This window comes from Homo sapiens, chromosome 21, assembly GCF_000001405.40.
Source record: "Homo sapiens chromosome 21, GRCh38.p14 Primary Assembly".
Taxonomy (NCBI): domain Eukaryota; kingdom Metazoa; phylum Chordata; class Mammalia; order Primates; family Hominidae; genus Homo; species Homo sapiens.
Window position 1 is genome coordinate 42,262,559 of NC_000021.9, and position 20,330 is coordinate 42,282,888.

General features: G+C 54.0%; 1 protein-coding gene across 12 annotated transcripts in view, besides 1 other annotated feature; it reads left to right on the forward strand.

Moving 5' to 3' along the window:
- ABCG1 (ATP binding cassette subfamily G member 1) overlaps positions 1-20,330 on the forward strand; it is a 97,556-nt gene that overhangs the window by 62,870 nt on the left and 14,356 nt on the right. For all 12 annotated transcript variants that reach the window (NM_207627.2, NM_207628.1, NM_207629.2 and 9 more), the window contains 4 exons: positions 8,512-8,629; positions 10,745-10,877; positions 14,337-14,387; positions 19,716-19,861. In NM_207627.2, the coding sequence (NP_997510.1) occupies positions 8,512-8,629; positions 10,745-10,877; positions 14,337-14,387; positions 19,716-19,861 (448 nt within the window). The remainder of the gene's footprint in view (positions 1-8,511; positions 8,630-10,744; positions 10,878-14,336; positions 14,388-19,715; positions 19,862-20,330) is intronic.
- Positions 9,799-9,968: an enhancer, noted in NCBI's record as "experimental_62106 CRE fragment used in MPRA reporter constructs". NCBI's record gives its function as "activates a minimal promoter by MPRAs in K562 erythroleukemia cells, with activity observed for both the introgressed and non-introgressed 21:43692552 variant alleles {active_cell/tissue: K562}" and the evidence as "EXISTENCE:reporter gene assay evidence [ECO:0000049][PMID:34662402]".

A 20,330-nucleotide genomic window follows, 5' to 3' on the forward strand; every position in this document is an offset into this window, starting at 1 on the left:
ACTAAATGCACAATTCTGGATTGAGCTGACTGTATTGATTCAATGGGAATATGCCCACTCGGAGGAGGAGGGAGGGAGGAGGGGAACGGCTGGGAACCGCTCTGCGGGGCCTGGCAAAGGCACTCTTGGCCCCGGGTGCAAGAGCCGCCTCCGGGTTTGGCAGAAGGGGTTGGAATCTTGGATCCTCTGCTGACCTACCGTGTGACCTTGAGCAGGTCATTAACCCTCTCCAAGCTCTTGTATGTCACCTGTAAAAGATGGAGAAGAACACAGTAGTCGCTTGCTGTGAGGCCTAAGCGGAGTGACAGGAGCAAGGCTGGCGCGGTGCCCACCCCAGTGAGCTCTGGCCTGGTGAGGCCCGTTCTGTGACTCATGGCCTCTGCCAGGGGACTGGGCTGGCCCTGCCTGTGCCTCCTTCAAGGGCACATTTCTACAGAGTGAGGAAAACTCTCCTAGCCCCGAGCGATGCTGCCGTGTCCCCCGACTCTTCCTAGGTGTTGACAGTTGACAGGTCTCGGTTCTCTTTGCAAAGCACTGTTAGCTAATGTAGGAAATGTAAACATTCAGTGCCTTCCTGAAATTCCTTCTAGACCGGAACCACCTTGTTCCAGGGGCTGTCTGGCAAGTGGTATAGCCCAGCCACAGCAGCTAACAGGGCTCATGGGATTACTGGGGGGTAATCTCCATCTCAGAAAGGTGCCTTGACTTTTCCATGGGCAAAGGAATGTTGCCTTCATTTCCAAGGGAGGAAACCGTCTTTTTTATTGTTTGTTTTGGAAAAGTTGTATTTCTTTGTTTAAAAATCAACACCTTTGGGGGTTTACTTTAGATTTAAAAGTAGTTAGCCCTGAAGCGACAGGAAGGGGACGTGAGGGAGCTCCTAGGAGTGGGCCATGTCCCAGTTCTGATCTGGGGGCTGGGACCCTGGTGTGTTCGATCTGGAAAAGCATGTGAAGCTGTGTATTTATGGTCTGCGCACTTCTCTGTGTTTTCTACACCTCAGCGACATTTACAGCAAAATGTAATTACTCAGAAGTGAACACAACAGGCACATTTCCATGGCCATTGTCTACGGGTTTCCTGATGACTTCTGTCTCGCCCACTTGGGGAGGGGTTTGTGCTTATGTAACACAAGACAGACGGAGCCAGCAACCCCGTAAAAATGCCTGAAGTAGGTTGATCCTGCCGTTAGACTGTGGGGAGGGGCCAGGCGGCTGGGCCTGCAGTGGCCTCTGGGCATTGCCTGATGGCTCTGGTCCCAAAGGGGTCTGTCCTGTCAGAAGGGAGGTGTGGGAAGAGACGACAAGGCCACGGCGTTGCCTGAGACGGGATGTTGCTCAAGGTTCATTTGTGCCAAGAGCCCTTCCTGTCTTGTGAGTGCCACGAACATTTCCTTCCAGTAACCATTGTGCAGGCTCCATTCCAGGTTCGCGGGGCATGATAATCAAGAAGCTGGTCTTGCTCACGTCCTCATGGAGCTGACATTCTCAGGGCCTCCAGGGCAGTGACAGAGCTGGAAGCAGAAGAAGACGTGCGTCACATGGCGGCTGTCGGATGCCCTGCTCATCTGGGGTGCCTGGTTTGGGGTTGGCCAGCTGGCCTTTAGGAGGAGCAGCTTCATTCCAGCGTTATCTCCTTATACTCATGATCACCGGAATTCGGGATGTCTGCACAGGCTGTCTCTGAATCTCTAATGTTCTAAAAGTGGCTCATTCTGAAGGAGGGGATAACTCAGGAAACTCTTTAGTATTCACTTAATTTTAAACATTACTAAATGCTTCATCTGCGTGGTTTTTAAACATCTGTTCATCCATCCATCTGTCTGTCCCTCTGTCCATCCATCCATCCATCCTTCCATCCATCTGTCCATCCATCCATCCGTCAATCTATCCATCCATTCATTCATCTATTCATCCATCTGTCCATCCATCCATCCATTCATCCATTCATCCATTCATCCATCTGTTCATCCATTCATCCATTCATCCATCCATTCAGCGACACTTGAGTATCTACACTGGGCCAGGGCCGAATGTTTAGAGATGGAAAGGTGAGGTTCCTACTTCTCAGAGGATGCTGGCAAAGGAAAGGTGAAGGGCAAGAGAGAGAAGGTGGAGAGAAAGAGAGAGAGGAGGAGAGACAGAGAGGAGAGAGAGGGAGACAGAGGAGAGAGGGAAGGAGGTGGGGGAGAGATGGCCACATGGGGAAAGGGGGAGGACCAGGAGAGAAGAGATAGAGGAGCGCTGTTTGGGGTGCTGGTTGGTGTGCTCTGGGGAGCTCTCCAGGGTCTTGACTGGGGGCACGTGCATGGGGAGGGTTGGGTCTTGGGAAGCCTTGACAACACCAGGACTCCATCTCTGGCCTTGAGGCCACTAGCTCTCATGGTTTCTGCCCGTGGTGGCAGACAGTGAGTGGGAGGGTGCCACCTCTTGGGCCCTTTGGCTGAGCTCCTCGAGATCAGAGCCAGCTTGTTGGTGCTCGCTTGTGCTGGCCCCCCATCCCCATGCAGGACAGCTTCACACCATCTTTCCGAGTGCACACAGGGGTTCATAGGAGCTGCAGCTGTGCTCGGGCAGGGCTGCACCCCGATAACAGAGTCCAGAGTGCTCAGGCCCTCACGTCCCTCATTCCTGCACCCACAGGTCAGTTTCCTCCTGGAGGCTGCATCCAGTGCAGCAGCCCCGGGTGACGCTTTCTCCCTAGCATTGTGCTCTGCTGTGGGTTGAGTTGCATCCCCCAAATAGATATGTTGAAGTTCTAACCCCTGCTCCCTAAGAATGTGGCCTTACTTGAAACAGAGTCACTGCAGATGGCATTAGTTAAGATGAGGTCATGCTGAAGTAGGGTGGGCCCCTGATCTCATATGACAGCTGTCTGGATAAGAAGATGGGAATTTGGACACAGAGTCACAGATACACAGGGGAGAGGCCCATGCGCAGACAGAGGAGAGATCAAAGGGAGGCAGCCACGAGTCAAGGAACACCTGGAGCACCAGCGGCTGGCAGAGACAGGGGAGGTCCTCCCCTAGCACGTTCAGGGGGAGCACGGCCCTGAGGGCACTTCCAGTGAGGACTTCCAGCCTCCGGGGCTGTGAGAGGATGAGCCCTGGAAAGGGGTCAGCTCTAACACACCACAGGGCGGCCTGACCACTGTTGACTTCTCAGGCTTTCCAGATGTGCACCTCTGGTCCACTACACCGGACTGCGAGCTGGCTCAGGACCGCAGGCTGGGATGGCCTGGAGACATTTTTCTCCACCTCTACAGTCAGTGGTGTCCTGCCGGCCCTGGCCTCCCCCTTAGTGAGGCAGCCCCCTCGCGCACTGCCATAGCTTGCCCCTCGTGGCTTGAGGGATTAATCTATAGGCCTCCCCTTCCTGGACAGGGTTCTTCTCTCTTAAGCCTGGATAAGTGGGCTTGCTCTTGGTTTTGCTTTGACAGTGGACTTGTGAATTGCAATATGAAGCTGGGTGTGGTGGCTCACATCTGTAATCCCAGCACTTTGGGAGGCCCACGTGGGCGGATCACGAGGTCAGGAGATTGAGACCATCCTGGCTAACACAGTGAAACCACATCTCTACTAAAAATACAAAAAATTAGCCTGGCATGGTGGTGCGCACCTGTAATCCCAGCTACTCAGGAGGCTGAGGCAGGAGAATCGCTTGAACCCAAGAGGCAGAGTTTGCAGTGAGCCGAGATTGCGCCACTGCACTCCAGCCTGGGTGACAGAGCGAGACTCTGTCTCAAAATAAATAAATAAAATAAAATAAAATAAAATAAAAGAATTGCAATATGAAATTCAGCCAAGGTGAGTCTGATTAGGAGGGTTTGGGATCAAGGTGCTTCCACTGCTCCTTTTATAGTGAGTAGCTCTGAAGGACCAGCATGCTCTGTTCCTGTCTCTCCCAAGTATGCATCATCTTAGGGAACAAACCATAAAAGGGGCAGAGATAGACTCTGTGGGTTGTCTTTGGAATATCCCAAGGGATTTGCTCCTCTCTGATCATGTAGGTCTGCGGCTCCAAGGGCAGTCCGTCACCACCCTATCTGGAGCACTCTTCTATCCTCCTCCCATCTCTGTCCTCTGGCGATGACCACAGCCCCGGGCACTGCTAGTTGTGCCCCTTGCTAAGCTCCCATATTTTGTGTTAAGGAGCAAGGATTTTCACAGGCTCATAGAGCATTTGCTTCCTTTCTAGGGTAATTAAGACTACACTAGAAACCATCTTGTCCGGTTCTCTTTTACAGATGTTGACATTAGGGCCCCAAGAAGATACGTAGCCTGCTGGTGTCACTTAGGGAATTAATTCCTGAGCAGGTGTCTGGTGCCTGGGGCCCTGCTCAGACCCCATTCTCTCCTCTGGTTCTCGATGGCCCTCACCTCCCATTTCTTTCCATTTCCCAGAGGAGTCTGGTTGAACTTATGGCTTTTTTTGCCTTGATTAATTGACTATGAATTTATGTCCCCTAAAAAAGGATTAAGTTGCATCATTTCTTCTTAGCATGCAGTGCTCAGAGACAACCCAGCAATTGATAAAGACTTTAGGGTTGGTGCAGGGAAAGGGGGAAACAGACACTGATTAAAGATAAATGGGGAGTGGAGCCTTCCTCCCACCCAGGCTCACAGAGGCCGGCCCTGCCCGCCTAGCGCTCTCGCGGGTTCTGGTCTGCAGTTTTTATCTGAGTTCCGTTTAGTGTCTGGTCTGAGGCTCTGGTCTGGTTTGGGTTCTGTCTGGGTTCTGTCTAGGTCTAATCTGGGTTCTCTCTAGACCTGGTCTGGGTGTGGTCTGGGTTCTGTCTGGGTCTGGTTTGGGTTCTGTCTGGGTCTGATCTGGGTCTGGTCTAGGTTCTTTCTGGGTCTGATCTGGGTTCTGTCTGGGTGTGGTCCGAGTTCTGTCTGGGTCTGGTCTGGGTTCTGTCTGGGTCTGATCTGGGTTCTGTCTGGGTGTGGTCTGAGTTCTGTCTGGGTCTGGTCTGGGTTCTGTCTGGGTCTGCTCTGGGTTCTGTCTGGGTGTGGTCTGGGTTCTTTCTGGGTCTGATCTGGGTTCTGTCTGGGTGTGGTCTGGGTTCTGTCTGGGTGTGGTCTGGGTTCTGTCTGGGTCTGGTCTGAGTTCTGTCTGGGTCTGGTCTGGGTTCTGTCTGGGTCTGGTCTGAGTTCTATCTGGGTCTGGTCTGGGTTCTGTCTCGGTGTGGTCTGGGTTCTGCCTGGGTGTGGTCTGGGTTCTGTCTGGGTCTGGTCTGGGTTCTGTCTGGGTGTGGTCTGGGTTCTGTCTGGGTCTGGTCTGGGTTCTGTCTGGGTCTGATCTGGGTCTGGTCTGGGTTCTGTCTGGGTGTGGTCTGGGTTCTGTCTGGGTGTGGTCTGGGTTCTGTCTGGGTGTGGTCTGGGTTCTGTCTAAGTTCTGGTCTGGCTGTTCTAGTCTGCGGCTCTGGTCTGGCCTGGGTTGTGTCTAAGCTCTGGTCTGGGCTACCATCTGGCTGTTTCAAATACTGAACCTGGGCATCCTGCACGGGGCTGATGGGCCTTCACTGGGCCTGGCTCTGGCAGTCTCTGCACTTGTTATCCTGGGCACTCACTATCCCAGCCAGAAAAACAGTGGAAGACAGTGTGCCCTGTGAACGAGAGCCCACAAGGACAGGGAGGCAGGTGCATGTCCATTATGCCAAGAAGTGGGCTGAGCAGAGCTCAGGGGTGGGAAAGTAGGGCAGGCGGGGTGGGATGGTCGCATCTTCGCTTTATATTTCTGTAATGGGAACCAAGTGGAGGACTCTGCGGGGAGGGTGATTTCCTTACATAAATAGAGGTAGGGGTGTGTGTGTGTGTGTGTGTGTGTGTGCGCGCGCGCGCTGGATACTCAGGAAACCCGACTACCACAGGAAGCCTCTGGCTGGTGTTTCCTGGGCCCCTCAGCCCAGGACTCACTTTTAGATGTGCACAAGGTCACTGTTGTACCCGGGCTGTCCCACAGCAGGGCAGACTAATGTTTACTGGACTTTGTTTCCAGAGCCACTTTTAAGATTCTTCAATTCCAAATGCATGTCTTTTTTTAAAAAAAAGAAAGAAAGAAAAATAAGTTTCTAATATTAGAGAAGTACAGCCCTGAATTGGGTTTTGTGTCCACTGCTGGACCCCATGAGGGCCAGGTGGAGTGGACCTCTGCAGCCCCAGTTGTGTGCACTCTCTGTTTGGTGCAAATTCCAGTTTGCTGGTTCTCAATAGCAAGACCAGCCTGAGACCACCTGTCCTGCTCTTCCCATGAGAGGGCCGAATGCTCCCAGCCTCCATGCCATGTCCTGTTCCTGGGGTCCTGGGGGTCATTGCAGCCTGTATGTGCTTCCTCCAGCCAGGGTGATCATCGGGTGCCCCAGTGAGCCCCAGCACTGAGGGTCAGCCCCAGGCACTGTCAAAGGTGAGAGCTCAGAGGCTGTGCCCAGAAAGAGAGGTGGGCCCTGCCTGCCCTGGACGGAGGGAGAGAGGCTTCTCAGAGCCCGAGGCATGAACCCTCAGGTGGGTCGTGGCCATAGTCAGATGATGGCTGCTGGTGAGCTCAGTGACCAGGCGTCTTCAGGCAGCTCATAAGTTTGAGAGGACACAGCCTAAGGGAGGTTTGCTGGGGAGTAGCCCCACTTCCACCCTGAATAGACAAGAGATGGTAAAGCAGGTACCCAGCACTTAGTGCTTTCTTGGGGATATCGCGTGGGTCCCCGGGGGCCTGGGTGCCCGAAGTGCCGCAGTACTCCATGGTGCAGAGAGCTTGCTCCTGTGGAGGAAGTGTCTATGTGGTCCCCAGCTCCTCTGTCTGCCTGTCCACTGAGGGGCACCCATGGCTCAGCAGAAGGGCTATTCTTGGGGTTCCCGGTCCTCCTCCAGCCCCGCTAATCTGTGTAGGCCTCAAGTGCTGTGTGTTTGTAAGCATTGTCATCCACAGTCCTATTGTACGAGCTGGTTCACCCGCAGCTCTGAGCTGCTCTCCAGCCCCAGCCCTTTCTTCCTGTGCCCCTACCCCCGCTGGGATGACTCTCCTCACCCTCCCTGGGGCGACAACCGCCCTGTCTGTAATGAGTGGCAGTCCCAAGCTTCCTGACTGGCTTCCGCAGCTCTCTGACTCCCCTAAACAAGGCCTCAGGGACTCCACATCCAAATTAAGGCGGCACCTGGTGGCAGGTTGGCATTTTCCGGTGTCCTATCTATGAAAGACAGGAAGACAGCTGGGAGCAAACTCCCCTGGGCCAGACTCTTGGAAACATAAAGGCTTGGGTGCCCAGCTGGGGACCGGGAGAAAGTCTAAAACACGGGACTGGGCCAAGGACCCCACAGGTCCCTGTCTCATTAGGTCCCCTGAAACGTGTGGAAGCTAAAATGGCATTCACGTGATTCTTGATCATTTAACAGTGGATTCTGATCTGATACTACACTGAGAAGTGCCCCTGGGCCGGGCGCGGTGGCTCACGCCTGTAATCCCAGCACTTTGGGAGGCCGAGGCGGGCGGATCACAAGGAGATTGAGACCATCCTGGCTAACACGGTGAAACCCTGTCTCTACTAAAAATACAAAAAATTAGCCAGGCATGGTGGCAGGCGCCTCTAGTACTAGCTACTCGGGAGGCTGAGGCAGGAGAATGGTGTGAACCCGGGAGGCGGAACTTGCAGTGAGCCAAGATTGTGCCACTGCACTCTAGCATGGGCGACAGAGCAAGACTCAGTCTCAAAAAAAAAAAAAAAAAAAAAAGTGCCCCTGGATTGGGAGACATTATCTATGCATCCAGTTGCTTCTGTTTTATTATTTACAGCACTTTTAAACAGTCTATTTGAAAAAAAATTAATGTGGCTTTGCTTGGGATGTGCAGCTTTTCCCCTTTTATAAAGCTCTCAGATGGAGACTTGGCAGAAATTCCAAAGCAGTTTGGTGTGGCTCCAAAATGACAAACTTTCTTAATTATTAATTAAGGGATTAATAATATATTGATTATTTAATCATATGTTGATTATTTATAAATAAATCATATATACATAATTTATACTTATGTAAATATATAAAGCATAAATAAATAATTTGTAGATGCAGTAAGTGAATTATTAATTAAAACAGACACATGCATGGCATCTCGGGGCAGGAGCAAGCTGGTAGTGCTGCAGCTCAGAGCTGGGTTCTGCCCATACTGGCCGAGGGCTTGGGCAGGTCACCTGGGCCCACCGGACATCGCTTCCTCACTCTGAGACGGGAATGGTGGATTCCCCATAGACTAGACAATGAGTGGGAAAGTGCTTTGTGAGCTCTAAAGCATTACACACGTGCTGGTAATTATTATCATTATTATAACCTGTGAAATGCAATTGAAGACGTAGACCAGGGAATTCGAAAGACATGAAGTTCATGTTCTTCCCTGGAATGCAGCCTTTTCTATGATGCATGTCAAAGGTTGCCTTTGGCCTTGGTCATGTGTACTTGAACATTTGCATATTTACTGCATTAGAGATAAAATGAAATGAATATGAATATGATCTGCTTTTTTGCAGGATACAAGACCCTCCTGAAAGGAATTTCCGGGAAGTTCAATAGTGGTGAGTTGGTGGCCATTATGGGTCCTTCCGGGGCCGGGAAGTCCACGCTGATGAACATCCTGGCTGGATACAGGTGAGCAGCCCTGCCCAGGGCGCAAAGTTCTCTCCCGGGTGTCAGGCCAGCAGTGGGAACAGTGGAGCTCCTTCCATCAGCCCCATCACCTGGAGCAGGCTGTGGTCTACAGCAGTAGTCCAGGGGAGAGAGTGACATTGAGAGGCTGCACTTGCCAAGGGCCATATGATGGGTGGAGAGCCACACTCAGAGAGGGGTCCCTGGAGACAGTGGCCACAGCAGCACCCTGGATGAGCTCAGCCTGGCTAAAGGGACAGGAGGAAGTAGGAAGGTCAAGTTCAGGGAGAGGGGTGGCCAGAGAACTTGGAGAGAACAGGAGTGAATGCAAGTTGAAGAGAGACAAGGCATTTTCAGAAGAGAATGAGAACTGTTTGGCTGGGGCTTGTGATGGTCTTAGTTGTTTAGAAGTTTGAGCCGGGTGTGGTGGCTCGCACCTGCAATCGCAGCACTTTGGGAGGCCGAGGTGGGCGGATTACCTGAGGTCAGGAGTTCTAGACCAGCCTGGCCAACATGATGAAACCCCATCTCTACTGAAGATACAGAAAAAATTAGCTGGGCGTGGTGGCAGGTGCTATAATCCCAGCTACTTAGGAGGCTGAGGCAGGAGAATCATTTGAACCCAGGAGGCAGAGGTTGCAGTGAGCTGAGATCACACCACTGCACTCCAGCCTGGGTGACAAGAGCGAGACTCCATCTCAAAAACACACAAACAACAACAACAACAAAGAAAAACAACAAAGAAGTTTGGCGACCATTGTGTCCAATGTCATCCATTTGGGAATGATTAGAAAACTTAGAATCTTTAGAAGTGTTTAGAAAATGCTCTGTTAAAGTCAGTTATTTTCATGTCTGATTGGTTTTATTTACTAACTTTGGCAAATAGTAATAATAGTAATAATTTCATTTACTGAAAAAATGGCAAATATCACCCTTTTCCTTAGAGCTTCTGAATTACACCTTAATGCCAGAAATTGGGGTTTGAAAAAACCTCACTTATGGCAAATTCCTGCCTGTGACAGTCACATCTAAAGGTTGAAGTTGAATCCTCAGAGTGAGGCAGGGCCAGAGAGGAGTGGAGTATTCTTGCAGGGGTGGCTGTTTCTCAGATCATCAATACACCCACAGCTCCTGGCAGCCTGTGTGGGTGCTTGGCATCTCGGAGCTGCAGAGGCCACTCAGGATGGGGCCTTCAGACCTGGGGATCCAGGGGAAGCCAGTTGACCCCAGCCTGTGCCTGGAGGAGAGAAGAGACCCGGCCGCAGGCCCACAGTCATAGTAACAAGCTGAGTAAAGTTGGAAGCTAGACATGCTTTCATTAGTCTCCGTAGATTCGCCTCTGTTTTATTCCCCATAACGTCTAGGAGGTAGGGCTAGAGAGACTGGATCCTTAGAAGCACAGTGTGTAGACTGCCTGTGGCATGCACCAGCTCCCGGGCTGCACTGATGCTCCCAGAACGGCAGGCAGCAGAGGCGCACAGTAGGTCTGCAGTGAGCCGATGAACCAGCCAGTGAATGAGTGTGCCTGGTGAGGCCGTGCCTGCCTTGCATGAGCACCTGGGAGGCTCTCAGCCTGCTCAGCAGAGAGAATTCTCCCTGGTGGAGAAGGGCCATCCACTCGGCTGAGCTGGTCCGGGCCCCAGGCCCCTCTCTGCTCCTTCCCAGGCCTGAAGTCTGCAGAGGTCCGGCCTTTGGGCAGTTGGGTGTAGCCTGAGCTACACACAGAATTGTTCAGAAGCCAACGTTACAAACCCCCACAAATCCAGGGGCTGTACATCCTGACCTCGCGGCTGCTTATAGGACCATCCCTGCCAATCTTTGTTTGGCAGGTCAAGAAAGTGCTGCCGTTACCCTTAGTATAAACACACCATCCCACGGAGGCCTGTGTGCAGCTTCCTCTTCCCAGCAGGAGCTTTCTCTGTGGAATGTCTTCCTCCCGATCGCTGCAGTGCTAGCGAGGTCCGGTCCCTTTCTGCCCCTCGGGGTCCCCGTGGCCAGTGGTTCAGCTGGGAAGATGCTGGGAGGCAAGCCCCCGTCTCTGGCTCCCCTCTCCTGCCCCGGGAGGTGGAGGAGGAGCAGGAGCCCGGCTGACGGCTTCTCCTGTCCTTGGTTCTGCAGGGAGACGGGCATGAAGGGGGCCGTCCTCATCAACGGCCTGCCCCGGGACCTGCGCTGCTTCCGGAAGGTGTCCTGCTACATCATGCAGGATGACATGCTGCTGCCGCATCTCACTGTGCAGGAGGCCATGATGGTGAGCTCCGCCCTGCCCCGCCCCACTCCGCCCCTGCCGCCTGTCCCCAGCGCCCACATTAGACACAGCACTGGCCGAGTGCCCAGCTGCGAGGGACCCAAGGGCTCTGCCACGCGGCCTGCACAGGGCCAGCAACCTCCCTCTAGCGGAGTTCTAACACCAGACTCGCTGTTGGGACAGGCAGCATCATCCCAAAACCCCCCAAGACTGTGAGTTTAATGGACCTTGTTTGGCAGGGTTGGGGTCAAGTTTCTGAGAAGGTTATTAACCCGGCTGGCTTGGGTGATCCTCTCCAGGGCAGCCACCATACTATTTCTCCTGCAGGCCAGTGCTTGGGATTCTCCTTCCTGTCAGCTATCCTTGAGTCTTTCCGTGTCTTTGGCCCAAGCACCCACTCGCCTGGTGCCTTGGTCAGGATACCAAGGGTCTATTCCTCTGACTCACCTGCCTCCCAGGTGGGAAAATGAAACCAGCAGTGGCCGAGCATCTCCTGGGTCCCAGGCCCTGAGCACATAGCTCTACACACACCAGATATGTCATCCCAAAAAAGTGGGTGGGAAATGGAGCTTCCCCCAGTGAAGCCAGGAGCCCAGGGTCACACGGCTGCTGATGGCCACACGTGGCCAGGGCTGTCTGTCTCCAAAGGCGCACCTTTAACTGCCAGCTCAGCTTCCCTGCCGTGCACCTGCTTTATCCTCACAGCCTCAGTGTCCTCATCTGCAAGACCGTATGGGGTTGGTGTAAATATTGAAAGGGAAAATACAGGGAAGGTGGGGTAGAATTCTGACATGCAGTTGGTGCCTAATCAATTCAACTTGGTCACTGTTTCTTTTCACTCCTAGTAAGCCTCCCCACAGTATCTTCACTTATGTCCTCTGTGGATAAATCCAGTATTTGGGGAAGTTTAAAAATATCTTCCCCTCTTGGGGCCACAGAAGGGTCCAGGGGATATCCTCTGCCTGGGTTTCTGGAATAGCTGGTTGTGCTCCTTGGACAGACCGCGACCCAGCCAAGTGCCATGCATCTGGGTTTCCAGGGCCTTTTTTTTTTTTTTTTGGGGACAGAGTCTCGCTCTGTCACCGAGGCTGGAATGCAGTGGCACGATCTCAGCTCACTGCAACCTCCGCCTCCCAGGTTCAAGCGATTCTTCTGCCTCAGCCTCCCAAGTAGCTGGGACTACAGGCGCCCACCACCATGCCCGGCTGATTTGTGTATTTTTGGTAGAGATGGGGTTTCACTATGTTGGCCAGGCTGGTCTTGAACTCCTGACCTCGTGATCTGCCCACCTCAGCCTCCCAAAGTGCTAGGATTACAGGTGTGAGCCACCGTGCCCGGCAGGGGCCATTTTTTTTTTTAAAGGCCCAACTCATGGCGACTGAAACCACACAGACCTAACTGTGAGCAGAGGCAACCACCAGAATCCTCCCATTAAGAGGAGATTGAAAATCAGTGTGCAGCTCCAGTTGCCAGTCATGGCTGGCTTTATGTGGGGGACTGTTTATATTTCTGCTTCCTCCTTGTTCGCTGCAAAAGAAGAGTCCCCAGGCTTCATGTCTCTCCTGGCACCCTAGGGGGCATCCTCAGCTTGATCTGCTCTGTGCTTTGGTCAGTAGATGGGGGTTCGCCTTGGTTTTCCACCTGGAGAGACCCTGACTTGGGTTGGGCAAAGCTTCTTCCCCATGGTGTCTGAGAGTGGCACGTGAAGGGCAGTGCCAAGGGGTTCTTAGCTCAGCAAAGAGAAGCAGGTTACGTTTGCAGACACATGATCTGCTCCCTAAACTTCTTTGTGGGGAAACAGAAGCAGGAACCTGTGGGGCTGTTCCCATTCGTGTTCCCTGGTCCTGCGTGTTCTGTGGGTAAGCAGACGCCATTCCCCTGGGCCCAGCATCCCTGGGCGGTGTGTGCCCCATGGAGCCCTGACTGCTGATCTGGCCTCCAAATGGATGTTCAGATGGGGCGCAGAGGACCTCTGAGGAGTTGGCGAACAGATGCTGCAAAGCAGTCGTGAAGTTTTTCTTGACCCTAATGTTCACTGTTCCATGTATGCCCTAAGTGCAAACTCCATGCACACCCTCTTGATTCCTGAACAGCTCCTGCGTCTTGGGTAGCCCGAGTTTGACTTCTCAGTAAGTTCTTGAGTGAACCCCATGGCCACATGCTCGAGACCCTTCACTGGGACCGCAGCTCAATGGCTGCATTCTCCACAGATGCGACTAGGGACTCCTGCTGTCCTCTCCCAACCTCGCCACCGAACCTGCTGTGAAATGATCTATTTTCACAATCAAATTCAGTTCGATTTTGATTCTGAGAATTTCATGAGGCCCTGGAGAAATACTCTGAGGCTATGGTACATGTTACCACTCAAGGTCCTGTCTCACACGGAGGAGATATTGGCCGCCCGTTGCGGAGTCCGGATCCCACATCAGACACAGTTGTGCATGTTTATGCTTTTCATCCTTGCAGCCAGGCAGACTGAGAAATGGCAGGCAGTGTCACATGGCAGGAGCGTGGGCCTGACCCTGTCCAGCTCTGGGGCCTGAGACCTCTTTGCCCCACACCCCGCCCCCCTCCCCGCCACCGCCCTGCATCTCACCCTCTCCTCTGATCCTCACAGCAACTTCTCTAGCTAATGAGGTGGACAGAGCTTAACCTCACCATTGTGCCAGTGAGGAAATGGAGGTTGCACGTTTGCCCAAGGCCACGGGAGGCAGGAGGGTGGAAGCAAGGCCCGTCCTGTGCATGGTGATCTACTCTGGGTTTTCCCAAGCAGGGCCAGGAGCCCAGTGCTGTGTTAGCAAACGGGATCTCAAAAAACACAACAACAACAAAACGCGGCATCCTGACGTGTCGCCCTCGTAAATTCCTGTGCTGTAAAGACTCTCCTGTGGATAAGTTCAAGCCTCAGCAGTTTAACAGGCGGTTTGTGGAATTCCTAACTCGCACCACTGGTTCCGCCCAGGCTGGTCGCCAAGCCCCTGATGCCTGGGGCTTTCTTACCTCTAAATGGCCCACATCTGACTTCTCTCCTGGGTACAGCAGAGAATTCAACTGAGATAGCAGGAAGCATCGCACATGGACTGCTCTCCTGCCATCCTACCATTGTTAAAGCAGGGGCATCGGAAGCCAAGAACTCCTTGGGTTTTCCATGATGATCAGCTAGCTGCACGGTGGCTAGTGGCACCGTGGCTAGCTGCATGGTGGCTAGTTGCACCGTGGCTAGTGGCCTTATGCCTAGCTGCACTGTGGATAGCTGCACCGTGACTAGTGGCACCGTGGCTAGCTGCACCGTGGCTAGCGGCATTGTGGCTAGCTGCACTGTGGGTAGCTGCACCGTGGCTAGTGGCACTGTGGCTAGCTGCATCTTGGCTAGCTGCACCGTGGCCTGCAGTGCGGGCATGAGGCTCACACTGCCAGTGGCCGTCTGTTCTGCTTCCACACTGTTGTCCTTGTCCCCTGCAGGTGTCGGCACATCTGAAGCTTCAGGAGAAGGATGAAGGCAGAAGGGAAATGGTAAGTGGGTTGTTTGGTGCCCACAAGTGGTCCAGAAAGTGCATGACGTGCATGTGGAAGGTGTGCCTGCCGGGGCATTTTGGCATTGGCTTTTGTTTGTTGATTTGTTTTTGCCTTGCCTTCCGTGTGTGGGACAGGCAACATTTCAGGGAGTGCTGTGGCCTGCAGCAGCCAGAGGCCAAGAAAGGCAGATCTGGTGCACACGCTCATGGCTTTGATTCTCAGATTCAGGAGTCGGAATGTAATGTGAGGGACAACAGACTTGGCACTCATGGGGCCAGAAGATGCCAGCTTCAGGGTTAGACCAAGAGTGCTGCCCTTTTAGTGTTTAATATGATCGATATTAAATTTTTTATAAGACAATAACAATGAAGATGGTTAGTCATTCGTTTAAAAATAACCACCCTCCATCCACCTACACTTGCAAGAAGAAATTTAGTTCTTACATGTTATTAACCGGCCTCTTAAAAAAGAAAATAAATACGTTTCCAGGATGATGAAGACTTTCTAATCCCTTTAGCCATTTTTTTTTTGGCTTCCTAAACCCAGGGAGCAGGGACAGATGCAGGTGGGCAGAGCCAGGGGGAGCAGCAGAAAGCCACACAGAGGAAGGAGGCCACCAGCCTGGACTCACACACCCTCCACGGGAAACCCACTGTCCTCCTCTCCACTGCAGCTAGTGCTGGTGGGATTTTCAGTGTGAGATGGAATTTGGGGAAACCCCCCTTCTATAAGATTATCTTTCTCTCCTAACACCCTTAAAGGCTCACAGTCTGGCAGCAGCTGAGAGTGGGGTTTGCCGGGTTAGTGCCAATGGCTCGACATGGCCCTTTGTGTTCTGGTATAAAATGAAGTGATTGATGGGACAGAGTCAAACATACTGAGGAACAGTCATAGCAATTCTATTTCCGGCATTTCCCCCTCTCCGGTCATCTGTAATAGCTAATATTAAGTAAATGTAAACCACTTTGGTATGGAAAAAAAGAGTTGGACAACCTTAATGCTCCTCCTCCCCCATCAACTGTGCCCTTCAAAACTCAGGATTCAGCCCGTGTCACCGGGGCTGGGGGGTGAAATGCCCGGTGCAGGTGGAAAGAGCCTAATGTCTGAGAGAAGGAAAATGACTCTTTGTTGCTACAGAAAATGTTCTGTGTGGAATTCTTTTATTCTGAGATTGAAAAGAAAATGGATGAGTGGAAACCAAAAGAGAGAAAATGTGGAAATCACATGTGTTCCTGGCCCTTCATGGGGGCAGAAGACCCAGCCTTGTGAGTTTATTGTCTAGGCTGAAAGGCGAGAGCCCCCTCTGGATAGTGTTTTCTAAACAATGTAACGTAGACACCCCCCCACAACACACACACCACCTCCCAAGCCCGAGAATGTTACTTATACCAAGTTATGGAAGATGAGTGTTATGGCCTGAATTCCCCCCAAAAGATGATATGTTAAAGCCTACACCCCAGAAACCCAGAAATGGCTGTATTTGAAGATCGGGTCTTTACAGAAGTAATGAAGTTAAAATGGGGTCATATGGGTGGGCCTCAGTCCAGTCTAACTGTGTCCCTGTAAGAAGAGGAGAGGAGGACCCAGACACACCAAGGGATGGCCCCGTGAGGACACAGGGAGGAGGCGGCATCTGCCAGCCCAGGAGAGGGGCCTCAGGAACCAACCCTGCTGCCCTCGATCTCAGACTTTGGCCTCCAGAATTGAGGCGGGAGTTTCTGTTGTGGAAACCAGCCAGTGTGGGGGACTTCGTTACAGCAGTGAACGTAACAAACGAGAGCCTTAGTTCCAGGCACACAGAAGAACATGGAGAAAAGCAGGTGTCAGAGCTGAGTCTCGGCGAAGTCTCCCATGGGAGATGAACCCAAATCAACAGAACGGGGCCCTGGGATTGAGCCAGGGCGACCTTCACTCTCCCTGTCTGAGGTCAGTTTTGCCACCCCCCAGTCCTGGGCCCTCCTTGCCATCAGCTACAGGACAAGAGGAGAGGCCGGCAAGAGTGTGCAGGGCCCCCATGAAGCAGAGGCTTTTCCACCCGGAGACTCAAGAAGCTGCTCCTCCCGAAGCCTGGATGCAGTGCCCCTGGATCCGCCTTTCAGGGCCCTCCTTCCCATCCCCCGGCCTCCCTGCTTTCATGGGGTGTCGGAAGCACAATCCAATCTCTTTGTCTCGGATAGCCCTCCATCGAGGTCCCAAAGACCCCTCCAGATGCTGGCCTGCAAGCTGAGGGGCGGCTGTGGGGGCTCCAAGGAGAGACGGTGGAAGTGGTCACTGATGCTCGGCGTGGAGGAGGAGCCAAGAGCTCTGGAGAGGGAGGCGCTGGAGAGAGGGAATTCTGTCTCTCTGACCCAAAATAAGGCCCAAGGACAGAGCAAACGGTGGAGAGGGTCTCGGGGATCACCGGAGGCCGGGGGAGCAGACGCAGGAGGCGGAGGGCGGAGAGACTTGCTAACACGGAGAGGCCCTGTGGTGAAGTAGAGCTGAGCACACGGGGGAGCCCTCCATCCTGGCCTCCTGGAACCCACCGGATGGCCTTGGGCCACTGCCTGCTGTGCCCCGAGCCGAGCTTCACCTGTAACGTGGGGACAGGAAGCCAGGCCCCACCTGCCTTTTGGGGCAGTGCAACCTGAACTGGATGGTTTCTTTAAGGTCTCTGAGCTCGATGGAGCCCATGTGATCCATATGGGAGGGGCTGTGGGATTGCTTCCCTGCAGCATAAGGCGACAGCCACCAGCCTTTTCCGGGGTAGCTGGTGAAAGTCGCTCTCCCCATGGGCTGGGCGCACAGTGAGTGCTGCTCAGCAGGCTCCGTGCTGAAGTCACAGCAAGCCAGGCCCTTGGCCTGCCGGAGCTGGAAGACCCAGAACAAGCTGGCATCTTGGTGGAGAATGGAGGCGCCTCCCAGGAGTAGCTACACGGGACCCGAAGGCAGATGGCACCCATAGGTGTGTGTCCTCGTGGTGCCTGGGCCCTGCCTAAGACACGGCCCGGATGAGAGCCTCCAGCTATTTTCAACTGGGTTTACAAGGGCAAAAATATCAGCTCATGTGGCTGAATCATCCCTGAGGGGTGAGCCCCTGGCGCCGTCCTCAGATTCCTCTTCGGCTGGATTGAACAATGCAGAGAGCCCTCCCCACAGGACCTGGAGGCCACGCTGCGTCCTGCACATGCTCCTCACCAGCAGACCCAGCTGTTCCTCAGCCATGGCACAGGTGCATGCCTCGCCATCGGGCCCACCATCAGGATTGCTTCAGGAGAACAGGGCAGCAACTTTGTGCCTTCACTCACTTCCCTCCAACCCCCGATGTGCACCTAGGTCAAAGTTCTCTCTCTGTCTCATGGAAACACAATGGGATGGAATGTTCTAGAAGATCATGGAATTTTTGCTGTGTTGTTCACGGCCTTCCTTAATTCCCAGCAAAGCAGCCTCAGCCCTCCAGAGCCCTCCAGCAAGGCCACTTCCTCAGGAGTGAGGTCTCCAGGGGCAGCCTGGGCTGCCGAGATCCTCCCTGGAGCGCCCGCCGGGAAGCCCCAGGGGGGCTGGAGCTACAAGTGGCCTTGCAGGTTTTTTGTTTGTTTGTTTAGGGAAAATGTATAAATAACTGAGATCATTGTTTGTTCTTTCTGACTAGTCTTTAAAACAGAACCCTTCTGGGTGGCATCACTCCTGAGCGGACACTGGAGAAAGTGGGGTGGGCCCAGCTCATGGGCAGGGGTGCGGAGGGAAAGGCACCCACAGCGGCCTCCGCTTCCAGCATCCCCTCCGTGAGGGTGGAGGGAGAGAAGAAGATGTGCCGCATGTGTGGGGCCCCCACAGTGAGCCTGGAAGCACCAGAGCCACTCAGTCGGCCAAGAGCGTCGCCCAGTGGTTCCAGAAGATCTGGAGGCCTCGTCCTGGGAAGACCAGCAGTCGATGCCAGCTGGGAAGAGGGCTCTGCCCACCTTGCACGCCCCCCACCCACCAGCCTTTTCCAGACAGCCTTCCAGAAGCTGTTTCTGGGTTGGCGGCCCTCAGAGCCAGGCATCCAGCAGAGGCACCAGGGCTGGGGTGAGGGCATCAGCAAGGAGGTTCAGGACAGGGCTGGAGCCCAGGTCGGCTGACCCTGTACTGCCACCTGCCCTGGCCTGTCCAGCAGCCGTGCCCCGGTTCTTTCTGTCACCAAAGCTGCACTTTGTACCGACTGTGCATAAATAATTCAGAAGCTCAGAGTGGAAATTTTCTTCCTCGTGAGTTCTTCCTCCCTTCAGATGACTTCATCTCCCTAGAGGAGCCGCTGGAGTAGGGTCCGCTTGCTATGGCTCCCAGGGGCCGGCCACCACAGGGCTGCCCTGGCAGGGTGGGGACAATAGCTGGGTGAATGCTGGAGGGAGCTCCAGGTGGGCTGTCCCCAGGGTAGGGAGGCAGGGATGGCAGTGGCTGACCCAGGGCCTGCTTCTGAGATGATGCTGGGGCTGAAAGCAGCACCAAGCCAGCACAGAAATCTGCTGACCTTCGTGTTCCCTGAGTCGATACAGGATCAATAATCCGGAGCAGACAGGGAGGGCTCCGTGCGCAGTGCCCTGCTTGTTCCTGGCGTGCAGCCTGCTTCCCAGAGCCTGTGCCGTGGTGTGGCTACCGTGGGTCATGACTGCTTTGAGGGGTACTGCAGATCTGTTTCGTTGCCTTCCTGGCACCTCAGAGACCTTGCTTTCAAGTCAAACCTATTTACAAGAACAAAAGTGACTCTGTCCCCCTCCCCGAGAGCCCTGGTGTGTGTGACCGTGTTCCTGCCCTTAATGCCTACCTCAGCGATGACAAGAGTGCTGGGAACAGCCCCCACGGACTCCATGCTGCTCTGTGCACTCTGCATCCACTCTTTCAAGTAACCATCACAGCGACCCTCCCCTTCGTTCTGGGCAGAAACCACCAGAAATTGTGCATCCTCTCATGTGTCCATTCATCAAGTATTGACTGGACACCTTCTCCGTATGGGGCACTGGGCTAGGCTTAGCAGTGAGGAACGTGCCCTGGGCACCTGCCAGAGGCCATATGACTGATGAGGATGCAGGCCCTTGTATCTGACCCCAGCACTGTTGCACAGCCTCTGGGCAGTGCAGAGCCTCTGGGCAGTCTCTGTCCCTCATCAGGACGGCTGATGTGGAAATGGCACCTGCCCCACTTGGCACTGGGCAGCCTGGAGTGGGTTCGACTTGCGTGGCCTCCACGTGGGCCAGGCACGGTGTGTCCAGCAGGCTGAGGGCGGCTGGCAGGTCTTCCTGCATGGGCCATGGGAGGTGGTGAGCTTTGGCGGGCAGCTCCCAATGTCTCTCGTTCTGTTGCCCCCAGGTCAAGGAGATACTGACAGCGCTGGGCTTGCTGTCTTGCGCCAACACGCGGACCGGGAGCCTGTCAGGTGGTCAGCGCAAGCGCCTGGCCATCGCGCTGGAGCTGGTGAACAACCCTCCAGTCATGTTCTTCGATGAGCCCACCAGGTAAGTCAGGAGCATCTGAGCTGGTGTCCAGGGGCAGGAAGAACCCCCTGTATTCAGCGGTTCTTCCAGGTGACCCTGACATCCTGATGTAGCCTCAGAGGGGGTGAGTTGAGCTCACCCGGCGGTTCCTCCTTCCATCTGGGACCACTGGGCAGAAGAGCTGACTTATGCCCCCTCTCTCACTCACTCTGTGCTCAGGCCTGCAAGGCTTGTGTTGACCCTGGGGGTATGGCTTTGGGGGAAACGTCCTTTCACGATGCATATCTCTTCCATGACACCAAGTTCCCCGTGGCTCAGCCACTCTGAGGGCCAAGGTCATGGGACGACCTGGGAAACGGTGTGTCTTCAGGTGTGTTCTGGAAACGCCCTGCAGTTTAGCACAGCAGAGGCTCAGAGATGCCTGCAGGACAGGATCCTGCCTCGGTTGCTCACCAGCTCTCTATACCCACGGGCGCTCTGACCCCGCCTG